At 45.3% G+C, this 16969-nt stretch overlaps 1 protein-coding gene across 3 annotated transcripts in view, besides 2 other annotated features; it reads left to right on the top strand.

Annotated features, from left to right (window-relative positions):
* Window positions 1-16969, top strand: part of TMEM132C (transmembrane protein 132C) — a 440742-nt gene that overhangs the window by 387840 nt on the left and 35933 nt on the right. For all 3 annotated transcript variants that reach the window (NM_001136103.3, XM_047429886.1, NM_001387058.1), the window contains exon 5: window positions 14408-14551. In NM_001136103.3, the coding sequence (NP_001129575.2) occupies window positions 14408-14551 (144 nt within the window). The remainder of the gene's footprint in view (window positions 1-14407; window positions 14552-16969) is intronic.
* Window positions 1743-2942: an enhancer, noted in NCBI's record as "BRD4-independent group 4 enhancer chr12:129141297-129142496 (GRCh37/hg19 assembly coordinates)". NCBI's record gives its function as "activates an origin of replication core promoter dependent on BRD2, P300/CBP, MED14 and CDK7 cofactors, and independent of BRD4, by STARR-seq in HCT116 cells {active_cell/tissue: HCT116}" and the evidence as "EXISTENCE:reporter gene assay evidence [ECO:0000049][PMID:35650434]".
* Window positions 9008-9594: an enhancer, noted in NCBI's record as "H3K27ac-H3K4me1 hESC enhancer chr12:129148562-129149148 (GRCh37/hg19 assembly coordinates)". NCBI's record gives its function as "activates a minimal SCP1, AML or CMV promoter by ChIP-STARR-seq in naive H9 embryonic stem cells {active_cell/tissue: H9 hESC(naive)}" and the evidence as "EXISTENCE:reporter gene assay evidence [ECO:0000049][PMID:30033119]".

Below are 16969 nucleotides of genomic sequence, written 5' to 3' on the forward strand. Positions count from 1 at the left end.
AAATGAGGGGAATTGTTAGTGTTGTCATCAGCAACGCATTTTACTTTCGGCATCTCCTCAAGCATTTTTTAATCAATTCTACCAAAACATCATCCAGGACTCTTGGGGTTCATTAGGAAGTGGGAGCCGGGAGGCAGCGTGGTCAGGTAACGTGTCCAGCCTGGTCTGCTCCGTCAGGGCTGCCCTTCGCAAGCCGGCGGTAACAGGGTTCTCTTTTCTCCCCTGATGAGAGGAGTTGTTATACCGCACTGTGCGGCACAGCCGGGGTCTGCACTTGGCCTGCTTAGAGGGAAAATTACCTTACTGGGTGGAATTGCAAGAGGCCTCCCCTGCAATGCCTCTGTGTTTGTGTGCGTGTGTGTAATGTATTCTTAATCACCTGATTATGTAAATCACTGGTTGCACCTAACAGAGTCAGCTTGTTAATCAGATGGCTCTTCTCTGGACTACTCTGCCCTGAATCCAGAACCCACACTTCAAGCGCCCTCACTAATCAGCACGCCAGTCGGCTGCTGGGCGGCCCGTGCATCATTTTAACTAGTATGCCTTGAATTGGGAAAATGAAGCGCCCTTTTGGAGTAATTTTTCTATTGCTGCAAATTAGGCTGAGTTGTCAGTCTCTGCTTTCTCCTTCCTCTTATAACAGCCTTGCTGTCAGCCTGGCTCCACAGGGGCACCCACCACCAGCAGCCACAGAGAACAGTGGGATTACCACCACTCCCTGCCATTCCCAAACTGCAAGCCACCATCTAGCATCATTGCCAGGGACTTGACTTCTCATGGGTACAAAACCGGAATTTGTTGTAACGCATTCCAGTATAACCAGTAGTAGTCTTTGTCCACCATCTCAAGCATAAAAAGAAATATCTACATAAGTTAGCCTTAAGTTTGGCTGAGAATAACCGAAAACCTTCAAAACCTCTAGGTGAAACATAAAATAAGTTTATTTCACATACATAAGTAAGGCCATGACCACTATTAGTCATCAGAGATTTAGGCTTCTCCTATCTTACCTTCTCACCATCAGTAAATGGCTTTTTGTTTGTTTGTTTGTTTTTTGAGAAGGAGTCTCGCTCTGTCGCTCAGGCTGGAGTGCAGTGGCAGGATCTCAGCTCACTGCAACCTCTGCCTCCCGGGCACAAGCGATTCTCCTCCATCACCCTCCCTAGTAGCTGGGATTACAGGCGTGTGCCACCACACCCGGCTAATTTTTATATTTTTAGTAGAGACAGGGTTTCACCATGTTGGCCAGGCTGGTCTCGAACTCCTGACCTCAAGTGATCTGTCCACCTCGGCCTCCCAAAGTGCTGGGATTACAGACGTGAGCCACTGTGCCCAGCCTAGCAAATGGCTTTTATGTCCAAGTTTGCCTCATGATCCAAGGTGACTGCTGGTGTTCCAGCCATTATATCTATATTCCCAGTAGCAGGAAGGGAAAAAGGACGAAAGAAATGCCCCACTTACTGAGTTTCGTTCTCATTAAGGAGATTTTCTAAAGTACTGCATATTTCCGTTTACTTTTGGACTAGACCGGTTCTCAACCTTCAACAACATCAGAATCACTGGAGGAATTGGTAAAGCACTGGTAAATGTGCCCCACCAACCTTCAGAGTTTCTGATTCAGTAGGTCTGGGGTAGAGCCCAAAAATTTGCATTTCTAACAAGTCCCCAGAGGATGCTGATTCTGCTGGCCCAGGCACCACACTTTGAGAACCACTGTGTTTGAACCCAGTCACATGGTCACAGCCAGCTGCAAGGGAGGCTGAGAAGTTTAGTTTCTCCTCCCAACCCACCTCCCAAAGCATCATGGTTCAGTAACTGAAGAAAAAAAGAGAGTGGATATTGAGAGGCAGCCTCTTTTGCCACAATATCTTGCTCTATTTCCTCCAGATCTAATCAGTTTATTTTCCTAGCCCCTGCCTTTTGGGGGCTACCTCTGGGATTCAAGGTCTTTGTGTTGCTGCACAGACACCAGGCAGGCATCTTCTCCTGCGTCTTCTCCAAAATCTCTTCCTAGAAACCAGACGTGTGTTTCCTTTCAGAACCCAAAGACCACTCCTCCTCTCTCTTTACCTCCCAAGAGAAAAAAATTGGTTCTTTCTTTCTGGAAGGATGGGTGAAGGGAGCGCCCCCCTCCTCCGTGATTTTGGCCAAACATTTTGTCATACTTGTGAACTCCCTCACCTCTCTGGAATTTGGGAGGCATTTTGTTTTCTGTCCTTCTCCTCCTTCCCCCAAAGATACATACAGAACTGGTTTCCCTGCTTGAATAGGAGGAAGAAAGGGGAAGCCACAGAGAGGGAAAACGTAAGTTAATATCTCAATATTATCCCAGCAAACAGATTTCATCATTGTTTGGTAGCTAGAAAAGCTCTTTTTCTTTACTTCAGGAAGGGAGGCCAGGTTTTATAAGCATTGGGTAATGAGATGTGATGAGATTGGATGTTGCAATGAGGTGATGCAGGGAGGCATGATCTGACTGGATCCTGCCATGGGGTGACACCGGGGCTCAATCTGATTGGATCCTGCCATGGGGTGATGCCAGGGCTCGATCTGATTGGATCCTGGACCGTATTATGCAGTGTCCTGTTCTTAATTCAGTTCCCACACCTCAGTTTGAGCACTCAGGGTTCCTCTGTGTCTGCATGTGTGGCTCATCTAGGCATGCTCAGGCTATGTGACCTTCAACCTGGGGGTCCATGGCAAGTGAAAAACAACTCACAACTCTGTTACAGAAAAATGGAACCTATTGGTCTGGTGCAGCTACAGGGAGCTCAAAAGCAACTTGGTGAATCAGGACATTCAAATAGTGTCACAGTTTGTGGGCTCTGTTTCCTGGGATGAAGTTGGATGGGGTTGGGGTGGTGGAGTGGCCACCTCTGTACCAGGCACTGACCTGGGATTTTTTGTAGGTCCTCTTGCCTACAACCCTAGAGGAAACTGGGATTATCCCCATTTCACAGATGAGGAAAGCAAAGCTCCAACAAGGCAGGAGCAGGGACGCAGCTCCCATGGAGGCCACAAGGCAGGAGCAGGGACGCAGCTCCCATGGAGGCCTCAAGGCAGGAGCAGGGACGCAGCTCCCATGGAGGCCACAAGGCAGGAGCAGGGACGCAGCTCCCATGGAGGCCACAAGGCAGGAGCAGGGACGCAGCTCCCATGGAGGCCACAAGGCAGGAGCAGGGACGCAGCTCCCATGGAGGCCACAAGGCAGGAGCAGGGACGCAGCTCCCATGGAGGCCACAAGGCAGGCACCTTTTTAGTTTGAACTCATGAAGCCACGATGGTCGCTGCCCTCTGAATGCTGAGAGCTGGACCCTCTTTTCTGGGTTCCAATTTCAAAACTGGACCTTTCTTCCCCCTAGAACCTGCCACATGAGCTATCTCCCCAGAACCTGCCACGTGAGCGGTGTGCCTTCCCACTGTCTCCAGCGTCCTCCTAACCTGCTGGGATGTTTCCCCAACCAACTGCGCTTCCGCTGAGATAGAGGAAGACATGATCTTTTTTTTTTTCCTGTTCATATACTTTTCCTTTGGAGCAGGCAGTATGGTAATGTTATCTGCTATGGTTAAGTCCAGAAAGGCCAGTTTTAGGGGCCTCTTGCTATTCAAGTGTTTATAGTCACCTTCCTTGAGCTAAAAGCACATACAGGGAACCGGATGCTTTCAGTAACACAAAAATCATCACAAATGTAAATGATCAACCACTTATAAAGTTCTCCCCAATTCAAATCTCCCTTCCTATTTAACATGAGCCCCTCTGGTTTAGCGCAAGATTCCTCATAGGTCCAAACATGCAATGCAAATTATCAAGATGCAAATCTATGCCAAGTTGAGCAAAGGGTGCAGGCTTTTATGGAGGAAGCCATCATGCTGATGTTGAAGTCCCACTGGAAGCATGGTGGATCAGAGGCTGTAACCACTGAAGAGGAGAAAGCAATAAGGACAGGAGTTAGCTTCTGCAAAAGGAAGATGACTCCATGGCTCTACCAGAGAGAATGGCCTGAAACTTGAAGACTAAAAGAGGCCTTTGGAGGAAAGAGGGCCCTTCCTGTTGGAAAAATGATCTTGTTCAGGGATCAGCAAAGTTTTTCCATAAAGGGCTAGATAGTAAATATTTTCAGTTTTGCAGGACACAGTCTCTGTTGCATATTGTTTTTCTTTTCTTTCTTTTTTTTAAAAGCCTTGAGAATGTAAAAATCATTCTTGGCTAACAAATTTACATAAAAACTTGCCATGGACAGGAATTGGCTCCTGTGTCTTATTCATCAGTCTGCAAAATCTAATGGGATGTGAAAGACGTCTGTGAAGCCATTACAGACACCTGCTCTCCCCACAGAAATTCAATCCATCTTTCTCTTCATTCTGAGAAGCAGCACATGGTTGCCATCTCTGTTCTCAGCATCTACTTTGAATTAGTGAATAGTAGATTTCCCTATTAGTTGCCTTCCTCAAGGAAAATGTGAAACTTTTGGTCTGCAGTCAGCTCCGCAAGCCCCCAGAGGAGACCAAGCAAGACACCCTGAGCTCTGTGGACGTCTGTACGTGTGGAGGGGGAGCATTCGCCCAGTTATTCCTCCCTCAGAGACAGGTGGCAGGGAAGAAAATCCATGGATTTGGGAGGCACTCACAGGAATGGACTGCTTCTCTGGCTACAGATGGAAGGAAGGACACTTGGATTAAGCGTCCTTAAGTGTCCTTGGATAGATGATTGAAGACGGATTGGATAGATAGATTTAAGAGTCAGCGATGTCAGAATGGGTCTGGAGAGAAATGAAAAATGTCCATGTCCCACTGTCCAGTGGCTTCTCCAGTCCAGGGTGAGACAGGCCCTCAGGGCCACTCGTCCACTCCCACAACCCCCACTGGTGGGCTTGTTTTCTAGAGGGTTGTCTTGTGCAAAGAGTAAGAACCAGGGGCTGGACCTCTCACTTGGGGTTCATATCTCAGCTCCACCGCGCTGCTGGCTTTGTGAATTTGAGTGAGTTAGTTGGCATTCTTGACGTCGTCTCTTCACCCTTCAAATCAGGGTGAGAACAGAGTCTCCCTCCAAGGGTTCAGGGAGCTGGGATACACGAAGCGCTTAAAGAGAATCTGGCACGTAATGCATGCTGCTGTCGACACCAAAGGTCGGCTCCACCTCAGAGAAAACACGCTTGAGAGAGGTGGCAGGTGTGGTGGATAAAAGAAATGAAAGGAAGATGGTGTCACTGTCCAGCTGTGTGGCCCTGGGCAAGTCATTCCTCCTCGTCCAGGTGGGCTGAGGAACCCCTTTCCTCTCTGATTCTGGTGCTCAAAAATGGGATGACTTATAACTTGCTTTAAAATAGCCAGTTCTATAGGAGAAGTTTCTTCCCAGAAATTAAACTTGGGAATGAGAATGTAAGGTCTGGGCACAACCACTGGGAGTTCCTGCAGGGTCTCCTTTGAGATGTGCGGCCAACTAGTTTAACCTGCACGGCTAGAAACGCCTCTTAAGTCCACTTTGATCCACTTAGAAGGGCCAAATTTTCATAGCAAAGTGTAAGGCAGGCTAATTCCTGCTTTCTCTATGGGCTTCCCACTTGTTGTTTGTGGTTCCCAGACACTTTATGCAGTCACTTTCCCAGCATATAGTTCAAGGATGGGGATCAGCTTCCTCAAAGAAGAAAACGGCTTGCCAAGCCCCATTTGCCCATGTGCCCACGACCTTGGCATCGTGGACTGGCCCAAAGCCAGGCCTTAGGGCTCTCAGGTCTCTGCAGTCCACAAGCCCTGAACCTCCACGGCCACCGTGAGCCAGGCACGGTAATTACAGTAATAGGGAAGTAAATGGTACCCTACCCACCAAAATATCTAAAATAAAGAGGCTGGTAAAACAGCAGGTTTCACCAGAGAAACAAGATGAGGAGGGAGGTAGGTAGGTAGGTAGATAGACAGATAGACAGATAGGAGACAGAAAGAAGATAGATTAGATAGCGAGAGGTAAGATAGATAATACATAGATGACAGACTAGATAGATGACAGATTAGATAGATGATAGAAGATAGATTGGATAGATGATAGACACATAAATAGATAGACAGATGATTGATAGGCTAGATAGATAGACAGATATAGCTATGTGTCATGGACAAACTGTCATGAAGGGCAGCCTGGATCTTTGGGGCACAAACTGAAGTGCTGTCCACAGGCAAGATTTCTTCCTGTTCAGGGAAGCCTCAGCTCTGCTTCTAAATGCCTTTCAAACCAATTGGATCAGGCCCACCCAGATTATGCAGGATAACTTCCTTTATAAATAAAGTCAGCTGATTATGAGCATTAGTCACATCTACAAAATCCCATCACAGCAACAGCTAGGTTAATGTTTAGTTGACCAGCTGGAACCATCACCTGGCCAAGGGATACGTAATCATGGGGGTTTGCCAGGGTCTCAGGGAAGGACGGCCTCACACGCTGCTGCTCAGAGTGTATGATGACAACTGCTTGGAAGCACCAAATAGCAGGATCAAAGAGGAAAATGTGTACCCTCTCAACCCAGCAATTTCACTTCTGGGATGAGAAGATGCTAAAAAAAAAAAAAAACCCTGGATACATATGCACATGGAGGGATTCAGTTATTTGCAAAGGCAAAGAATTTGAAACACTGTAAGTTTCCATGGGTAAGAGAATGGAAAAGTAAAATATAGAAAAGGCACACAATGGAATTTAGTCAGTTTTGAGACAAATGAATTCAATCAGTATGTAAATATGGATCTAAATAGGAATAAATGCTCCAGCTATACAAACAGGGATAGATCATAAAAACATAATGTTGAGTGTTTTGAAAAACAAAACACAGGTTGATGAAAGTACAATATGATATATTTACATAAACTATGTAAAACGTGCTTTTGTATAAAACATAAAAGCAAAAGACAATACCATATTTTCTTTACATAAATATGGATATTTGGTTAAAGTATAAGAATCACAAACTGGAAAGATACATGCCAAATCCTGACAGTGATTGCCACTAGGGAGGGAAATTGAGGATCAGGACTGGAAAAATGACAGAGGAGATTTTAAAGTTATCAGCCATGTTTTCTCTTTTGTAAAAGAAAAAAAATCTGAAAAGAATACAAAAAGTGCTAACATAAATACATTTTAAATGTGTTTGGATGTCTGCTATGTGCTTGACTTGTTTTTATTTTATTTTCTATTCCTCCCCCTGCACAGCCCCAATTTTCAGAGAGAAAGAGAGATTGAAGTGGGTGAATTTGGCCTCCCTCCAGCCACCAATTGCCTTATACGAGACACTTCACATTTATGTTTAATAGCTGCCCTTTGAGTCAACTTGGACTTTGTTCCAAACCCTGACAGGCAATCCATAAACATTATCTGATTTAATCTTCACAACAACCCTAATTATTCTGGGAGTTCACAGTCAAGGAATCTGATGCTTGGAGCATTTAAATAATAGCAAGAAAAGGGCAGAGCCAGGATTTAAGGCAATTCTCTCTCAGGTCCTTGCTCTTGACCTGCCGAGAAGTTGTGGTCAAGAACATATACTCCTGCCCTGGGCTCGACATTCAAATGTGGCTGAATCATGTATGGGCTATGTCCCCAGACAAGTCAGTCACTCAGCTCCATGCCTCAGTTTCCCCATCCATAGACTAAGGATAACACAACTACCCGCTTCATGGGTTTGGGGTAGCGGTGAGAATAGTAGCAACACCTAGCACATGCCAAGAGCTCCTCAAATGTGACTTGGCTTTTTTTTTCCTTTTTATTAACTACTACCTCTTCTTGACTCCCAGCCACATGGATTGAGAGAGGTTGTTTGCTGCTCTCTGGGACATTTTAGATTAAGCTCACCCTTTCTCCAGACCCTCATGAAATTTAAACCCCCAAAGTTGCTTTACTAGGCAGACGTCTGGTCTCTGAGCCACGAATGTGTCTGTTCTTAGTCCCATGTCCAGGGTCAGTCAGCTGTGGGTAGAGATAGATCATTGGCTTGTCTGAGGCCACGCGGGAGCCCAGAATCGAAAGCCGGATCTGAGCCTGATGTGGCCTTTCCATGGCTCCAGCCCCATCCCACACTCTTTCCTTTCTTTTTTATAGAGATATAATTCTCATGCCATAAAATGTACTGTTTTAAAATATACAGGTCAGTGGTTCTTAGTATTTGCAAGGTTATGAACCATCATCCCTATCTAATTTCAGAACACGTGCATCACCACAAAAGGAGACGTCGTACCCATTACCAGTCACTTCCCTTCCCCATCCCTGCAGCGCCTGACCACCACTAATGCCGTTCTGTCTGCGGATTTGCCTGGTGTGGACATTTCGTATGAGTAGGACCATGTAATATGGGGCCTTTGTGTTGGCCTTGTTTCACCTCACACAACATGTTCATGATCCATCCATGTTGTTGCATGCATGCATTCCTTTTTGTGGCTGAATAGTCTTCCGTTGTGTGGATGTAATACATTTCCTCACTCTTTTCTACTCTGCAGGAGAACCCTTGGGGGATATTCGAGGTGGGGCGTTTTACACCCATTCCTGGGACAAATCCCCCATCTCTGTGGCCAGTGAGTCAAACTCCCCTAACATATTTCAGTCTATTCACACTTCCGAGTCTTTTTAACACTTCCGTGTTAAGGAACATGGATTTACTTCTGGAATGACTTCATGAAATTACTTCTATGTATAGGTACGTGTGCCTGCATGTATGCGTGTGTGTATGTGTGTGTGCTTGTGTTTGTATATGTGCGAGTGCCTACTCTGTAGGCCTGCCACATCAATATCATGCACACACAGGCACTCACACATACAGGCACATGCACCCACATACAGGCACACCCACCCACATGCACGCACGCAGGCACTCACACAGGCACACACACATACAGGCACAAGCACCCACATGCACGCACACAGGCACACACACCTGCACGCACGCGGACACTCACACAGGCACACACACATACAGGCACATGCACCCACACGCACGCACGCGGGCACTCACACAGGCACACACGCATACACACAGGCACACGCACCCACACGCACGCACGCGGGCACTCACAGGCACACACACATACAGGCACAAGCACCCACACGCACGCACACAGGCACACGCACCCGCACGCACGCGGGCACTCACACAGGCACACACACATGCGCACAGGCACACGCACCCACACGCATGCACGCAGGCACTCACACAGGCACACACACATGCCTGTGTGTGTTCCATGAAGTCGTTCCAGAAGTAATTCCATGTTCTTATTTATTTAAAAGTTAAAAATATAGTTCACCTAGAAAATGGCCAAACTAATTTACATTTATGAGGGTAAATCAAACAACAAAAATGTGTTTTCTCAGAAGCCTCTGGCTTTTTTCAAATTTGAAATGACCATGATTTAAAGAACCCTACCTTATTGATTATTTTCAGCAAAACAGAACAGTTCTCTGATTTATGACGGAGGTGGGTGGAGGGCTTCAGAGCAAGGTAAAAGGAGAGAAAAAACATTTAATAATACAAAAAGCTTCCAAGTCATAGTTATGCCTTTGTCGTGTTCTGAGGCCTTGAGACAGTGTTGATAAGCGGTCTCTAACACCTACTGGGGTCGGCAGGAATTGTACACCTGTGTGCTTTCAGGAAGCAGGCTGCCTTCTGTGATGCTAAACTCATCAGAGCCGGATGGGGCCAGAGGAAAGGCAGCTAGCAGTGTAAGCCTTCTTCCGAGCAGTGCTAAGCAGCAGCATAAAGGGAAGCGGCATCCACCGCCAGCCAGCCATGCACATGATGTGTTCTTCTTGGTCCCGCGGGGGTTTAGGTGGGTCTCAGAAGACAGAACAATTGTATACACATAAATAGTGTGCTAGGCATATTGCTGTGAATTGGCCTCAACTAAAAAGGTATTTGAGAGGTGCAACCAGATGCAAAGAACTCTGTAGGCCTGCCACATCAATATCATACACACAGGCACTCACACATACACACAGGCACATGCACCCATATGCACACAGGCACTCATACATATACACACAGGAACTCACACTCATACATATACACACATAAGCACTCTCACATACACAAACACAGGCACTCACACATACACAGGCACACACACAGGCACTCACACACACATAGGCACATGTACCCATATGCACACACTCACACATACACAAACAGGCACACACACACACAGGCACATGCACCCATATGTAAACAGACACTCATACCTATACACACAGGCTCGCACACACATAGGCACTCGCACATACACAAACAGGCACACGCACACACAGGCACTCACACATACACAAACAGGCACACACACACAAATAGGCACATGTACCCATGTGCACACAGACACACATACACAAACACAGGTGCACACACACACAGACACAGGCACTCACACATACACAAATACAGGCACACACAGGCACATGTAGCCATACACGTAGGCACTCACACACACACAAACATAGGCGCACACACACACAGAGGCACAGGTACCCATATGCACACAGGCACTCACACATACACAAATGCAGGCGCAAAAATACAGGCGCACACACACACACAGGCATATGCACCCATATGCACACAGGCACTCACACATACCCAAACACAGGCACACACACACACACACACACACCCAGGCACATGTACCCATAAACACACAGGCATACACACATACACATACAGGCACACACACATTCACAGGCACTCATACACAAACACAGGCACACACATACACCCAGGCACATGTACTCATAAGCACACAGGCACTCACACACACAGGCACACACACATTCACAGGCACACACACATTCACAGGCACTCACACAAACACAGGCACACACACACACATACACACAGGCACACGTACCCATAAACACACAGCCACACACACATTCACAGGCACACACACATTCACAGGGACTCATACACAAACACAGGCACACACACACACACGGGCACATGTACCCGTAAACACACAGGCACTCACACACAGGCACACACACATTCACAGGCGCACATTCACAGGCACTCATACACAAACACAGGCACTCATACACAAACACACAGGCACACACACACAGGCACACATACCCATAAACACACAGGCACCCACACACACAGGCACACACACATTCACAGGCATTCATACACAAACACAGGCACACACACACATACACACAGGCACATGTACCCATAAACAGGCACCCACACACACAGGCACACACACATTCACAGGCACACACATTCACAGGCACTCATACACAAACACAGGCACACACATACACACAGGCACATGTACCCATAAACACGCAGGCACTCACACACACAGGCACACACACATTTTTTTCTCTCTGCCTTCATGAGACACTGAATCTTGCACTTGGACTTCCCAGCCTCCAGAACTGTAAGAAACAAATTTCTGCTGTTTAGAAGCTACCCAGTCTATGCTATTTTCTTATAGCAGCCTGAATGAACTAAGACAGTCTAGGATTCAACAGTCGAAAAGATAGATGACATAGCCCAACCCCTGCTAATTTGTAAAATGAGGAAACAAAGATTCCAAGAGATATGATATGTGATCAGGATTGCACAGGAAGTTAATGGGAAAGCAAGGAGCGGAATCCAGGAGTCCAGACTCCAGGGCCCACCACTTCATAGACACCAAACTACCAGTCAGAAGAGTGGTTTTAAATACAGGGAACTTCCTCCATGTCACAGCCAGTTTATTCTGGAGGCCAAAGTTTCCTTTTATCATTTGTTATTTCTATGACTATTAATTCTCTGCTCCTGAAATTGATATTGGTCAGTGAAAAATATATATGTCCGAGGCAGGTGGATCACGAGGTCAGGAGATCGAGACCATCCTGGCTAACACGGTGAAACCCCATCTCTACTAAAAATACAAAAAATTAGCCGGGCGTGGTGGCCGGTGCCTGTAGTCCCCGCTACTCGGGAGGCTGAGGCAGGAGAATGGCGTGAACCCGGGAGGCGGAGCTTGCAGTGAGCCGAGGTCGCGCCACTGCACTCCAGCCTGGGCGACAGAGCAAGACTCCGTCTCAAAATATATATAGATACAGATATAGATAGAGATAGAGATAGAGATATATATACATACACATATACATATATGTCCAACCCATCTTAATTTTGGTGGAGTGCAATTTAGGGACAGGGAGTGTTAGGTAGAGTGTGTGAACATGTGTGTGTGTGCGCATGTGTGCGTGTAGTTGCAACAGCCGTTAGAAAACTAATCACAATCCATGAGGGAATGTACTGCTTTAATGAAGCCATTAGCCAAAGACCATTCTGAGAGAGAAAATGTAAAGACTGAACTCCAAGCACATTACCTGTAATGAACCTGAAAATAGACCTGGGGAATTTCTAAAGTATTCTTAGCCTCCATAATAGACATTGTGCAAGCTGCCTGGATTGCAGCCCAGCTCCAGGAATCCCACGGACCCAGGAGAAGACACAGCCGAGGGTGGTAACTGCTGGCTGATGCAAAAGCATCACAGAGAGGCCGAGGCTCTACTTAAAACTCATAACTCTTTTAGCTGCGCCCTTGTTTAATGCAAAAGGTCATTTTTGTGTCAATTGCTTCCCTGGAGAAAGAACGGAGAAAATCTTTTTCCACCTCCTGCTTCACACCAGAGCAGTGTTTCTGGAAAGGGACTTTGTGAGAAACTGGCATCATTAGATGTCCCAAAGCCAAGGCCCTTTTTCATTTTCATCTGTCCATAAAGAAAAGAATTATAAAAAGGCAATCAGGTAGTATCCTACAAAATCAAACAGAAGGTATTTTCGTCATCACCTGGCAGATCACAACATACATGAGAGGTGTGACACTAATAGTTTTGCGTGAAGTCGTCTGAGCAGGATAAATCAAAGTCCCCATTGACTATGATGGAATGGGCTCCCATGGAGCAACAGAGGAAGGCACTTTGCTTTGCTTTAGTCTTCATTTTTTAAAAAATGAAGGTGCCAAGCACGGTGGCCCATGCCTGTAATCCCAGCACTTCGGGAGACTGAGGCAGGAGGATCGCTTCAAGCTAGGAGTTCAAGACCAGCCTGGACAACATAGCAAGATCCTGTCTCTACAAGAAAAGTAAAAAATTAAAATGATCTGGGCATGGTGACACTTGCCTATGTTCCCAGCACTTTGGTAGGCCAAGGTGGGAGGATCACTTGAGGCCAGGAGTTCAAGACCAGCCTGGGCAACATAGCGAGACCCCATATCAAAAAAAAAGAAAAAAGAATAGGAATGGTTGAAGATGAGGGAAGGGGAGATGAAGGGGGAAAAAAGATGTCAAGAAAATTGACAGCATATAAGACATTGTTTGGCCCTCTGAACACAATCATATCCCATGCTATAGGCATTTCAGGTACATGAGCCAATAAATTTCCCTTATATATAAAGTAAAAAAGAAAAAGAAAGTAATGGTTGAAGACATTCATTCCACCTTATTTGGGAGACACAGCCCATTATTTCCTGCTTTTAGTATCCTTGAAGGTGATCTGGACTTTGCAAAACCTTCTTCAGCTCTTCTTTTGTTGCTGGGAGCAATCCAGGATCTAGCCCGTAAGGATCTGTGTTAGTTTCCTGATGCTGCGATGACAAATTAACACAAATGTATCATCCTACACTTCTGGAGGACAGAAGTCTGAAGTGAGTCTTAAGGGGCTAAAGTTAAGATGTTGGCAGGGCTGCACTCCTTCTGGAAGCTCTCAGGGAAAATCTGTTCCTTGCCTTCTCCAGCTTGCTTCTAGAGACTGTTCACATCTCTTGGCTCATGGCCATATCACCCTGACCTCTGCCTCCACTGCAACATCTCCTCCTCCTCCTCTGACCTTCATGGCTCCCTCTTATAAGGACTTTAGGATGACTGGATCCACCTAGATAATCCAGGATAATTCTTCCATCTTAAGATCTTAATTCAATCACAATTGCAATGTCCCTTTTACCATGTAAGGTAACATTCACAAATCCCGGAGATTAGAGCATGGATATCTTTTGCAGGAGGTGAGAGGAAAGCATTATTCAACTTACTGTGCTTGCTCAAGGTACCCAGGGTTAGTTTCTGTTGCTTACAACCAAACCTAACTGATGTATTACTTCCACTTGGTCTCTGCAATAAAGAAAAAGAATAAATACTTTTTGATTGTTGTTGAAAACTAGAAATATGATCATAAATAAACTAAAAGTAAACTGTTAAACATTCTTGGTAAATTGTTCCAAAGAATAGCCCTTTATTCCAAGTCCTGGTACAGTATGTAAATGGTACAGTGTGTCTTGTACAAACAAGGACAGCCTGGTGTTTACCCTGGGAGATTCCCCCTAGAATTGTCCAGTTCCCAACAGAATGGAATATCTCCCTTGACCCAGTGTGTTTGATTCTTTTTGGCAGGACACTGAAATTCTGAACACCGCCGTACTCACAGGAAAGACAGTTGCCATGCCTATCAAGGTGGTCTCTGTGGAGGAGAACAGTGCCGTGATGGACATCTCAGAGTCGGTGGAGTGCAAGTCCACAGACGAGGACGTTATCAAAGTAAGTCATTCCACAGCCAGCTGGATGGAACCGGTGGGAACTTCACTTGGACATCCCGTTTGCTAGGGACATTTAGACTGAAATACATGACGTTCAACTATACAGAGGCTTATGTGCAACACACTTCCAGCTGATCCACTCAACGTGTCCATTGCCATCTCTTTGTTTTCACATCATGCCAACCTGGTTAGGGTTTTTGGTTCATTCCTGTCTTTCTTCCTTTATTTGACAATTAAAAATTGTGTGTGTGCATATACCTGTATAATGCACAACATATTATTTTAAAATACATATACATTATGGAATGGCTAAATTGAGCTATTAGGCCAATGCAAAAGTAATTATGGTTCTTGCCATTACTTTTAAATGGCAGAATCCACAATTACTTTTGTACCAACCTAATAATTAACATATGCATAACCTCACATCTCACATACTTATCTTTTTTATGTGATGAGAACTTAATCTACTCTCTTAGCAATTTTCAAGAATATATTATTACACTTTAGGAGGCTGAGGTGGGTGGATCACCTGAGGTCAGGAGTTCTAGACTAGCCTGGCCAACATGGTGAAACCCCATCTCTACTAAAAATACAAAAATTAGCTGGGTGTGATGGTGCACACCTGTAATCCCAGTACTTGGGAGACTGAGGCAGGAGAATCACTTGAACCCATGAGGCAGAGGTTGCAGTGAGCTGAGATCGTGCCACTGCACTCCAGCCTGGGTGGCAGAGCGAGACTCCATCTCAAATAATATATATATATGTTATTAGTAACTAAATGTAGCATATTATACCAAAAAATTGCTTGAACATATTCCTTCTCCTGTCTAACTGATATTTTGTATCTTTTGACCAATATCTGCACAACTGTCCCCTTACCCATCCCCTGGTAACTGCCATTCTATCTCTGCTCCTATCAGTTCAACTTCACTAGATTCCACATGTACGTGAGATCGTGCAGTGTTTGTCTTTCTGTGCCTGGCTTACTTCACTTAACATGATGTCCTGTAGGTTCGTCCACGTTCTAACAAATAATAGGATTTCTTTATTTTTTTAAGGTTGAACAGTCTTCCATTGTGTTTATACACCACATTCTCTTTACCCACTCATCCCTTGATAGACCATCAGTGGTGCTTTGGACTATGGGTCAAACTCTGAATGCCTACTGTAGCTAAGCAGGTAACTTCAATAAGTGAAGTGGTAAATTGGTTCTGCCTATTCTAGAAGAGCAGCCAAGATTCTGCTCTTTGTCTTTCCCAGCAAGGAAATTGCTATAACCAGCTGTGGTCATGAGGTAGTGGGATTTCAGTATTTTATGTCTCCAAAAGAACGGAAAATCTAGATTTCTGGTTAAAAAAAGCAACAACCTTGTTTTTCAAGGTTAGCAGCAAATTCTAATTTTTTTTAATGGGCAAAAAAATAAAAAACAAAATACATTTGTGCTGTGGGTTGGCCGATGGGGTAACTGTTTAAAAGCACCCTTAAAGAGTAGGGGTTGGCAAACCATGAGCCATGGGCCAAACCTAGTCACTGCCTATTTTGTAAATAAAGTTTTATTGGGACATAGCCACTCAAATTCACTTCCATTTTGCCTGTAGCTGCTTTGGGGGCTACCACAGGAGAATTGAGTAGTTGACAGAAAACATATGGCTTAGAAAGTCTAAAATATCCAGCATTTTGCTCTTCCCAGAAACGGCTTGCCTAGAGTAATGTGTGCTCTAGAGTCTTAAGTTTTTTGGAGGAAGAACTGCAATTCCTGGTGTTTCCCATCATTAGTCATGATGCTACACCACAATGCTTGCTTAAAGAATAAGGCGATGTGAGGGCTTTACCAAGCCAGAAATGAAGCATTTTGTCTCTCTCTGTATTTTTCTGTAAACCCTGGAAACACATCCAGGAAAAAACAAATATCAAAAAAAGCATTCGGGTAGTGATTTTTGTTTCCCTCAAATCAAGTCTGACAGATAGCAACCAGCCTTCTCTCTGGTGTTTAAAACTCCATGTCTGAGTAGAAGAGAAGTTTACAAACTGTTGAGGTGGATAAATGGCATGGAAAAACACTTCTCTGCAAACCCCACCCCCAGAACAAGCAATAGACCACCATGCTAGACTGTCCACTGGGCTCAGCGCCACCATCACACAGCGACGTCCACACTCAACCATGACAGCATTCCAGTAGGTGGCAGTAAACATTCCAGCAACATCCATATACTATGACGATTCTTCTGACTGTTGGAGGTAGTATCTCAAGAAAGGGCTTTTTTCCCTAATTTACCCGGAAGTGATATATGACCTGGTGGTGGCCTTCAATACAGAGTGCTTTAACAGAAAGACCACAAAGCCCATGGGAGGAAGAGGAAAAGGGGGATGAAGTTCTAAATCACACTGTCCAATGGAAACACAATGTGAGCCACAT

The sequence above is a fragment of the Homo sapiens genome, chromosome 12 (assembly GCF_000001405.40).
Source record: "Homo sapiens chromosome 12, GRCh38.p14 Primary Assembly".
Taxonomy (NCBI): domain Eukaryota; kingdom Metazoa; phylum Chordata; class Mammalia; order Primates; family Hominidae; genus Homo; species Homo sapiens.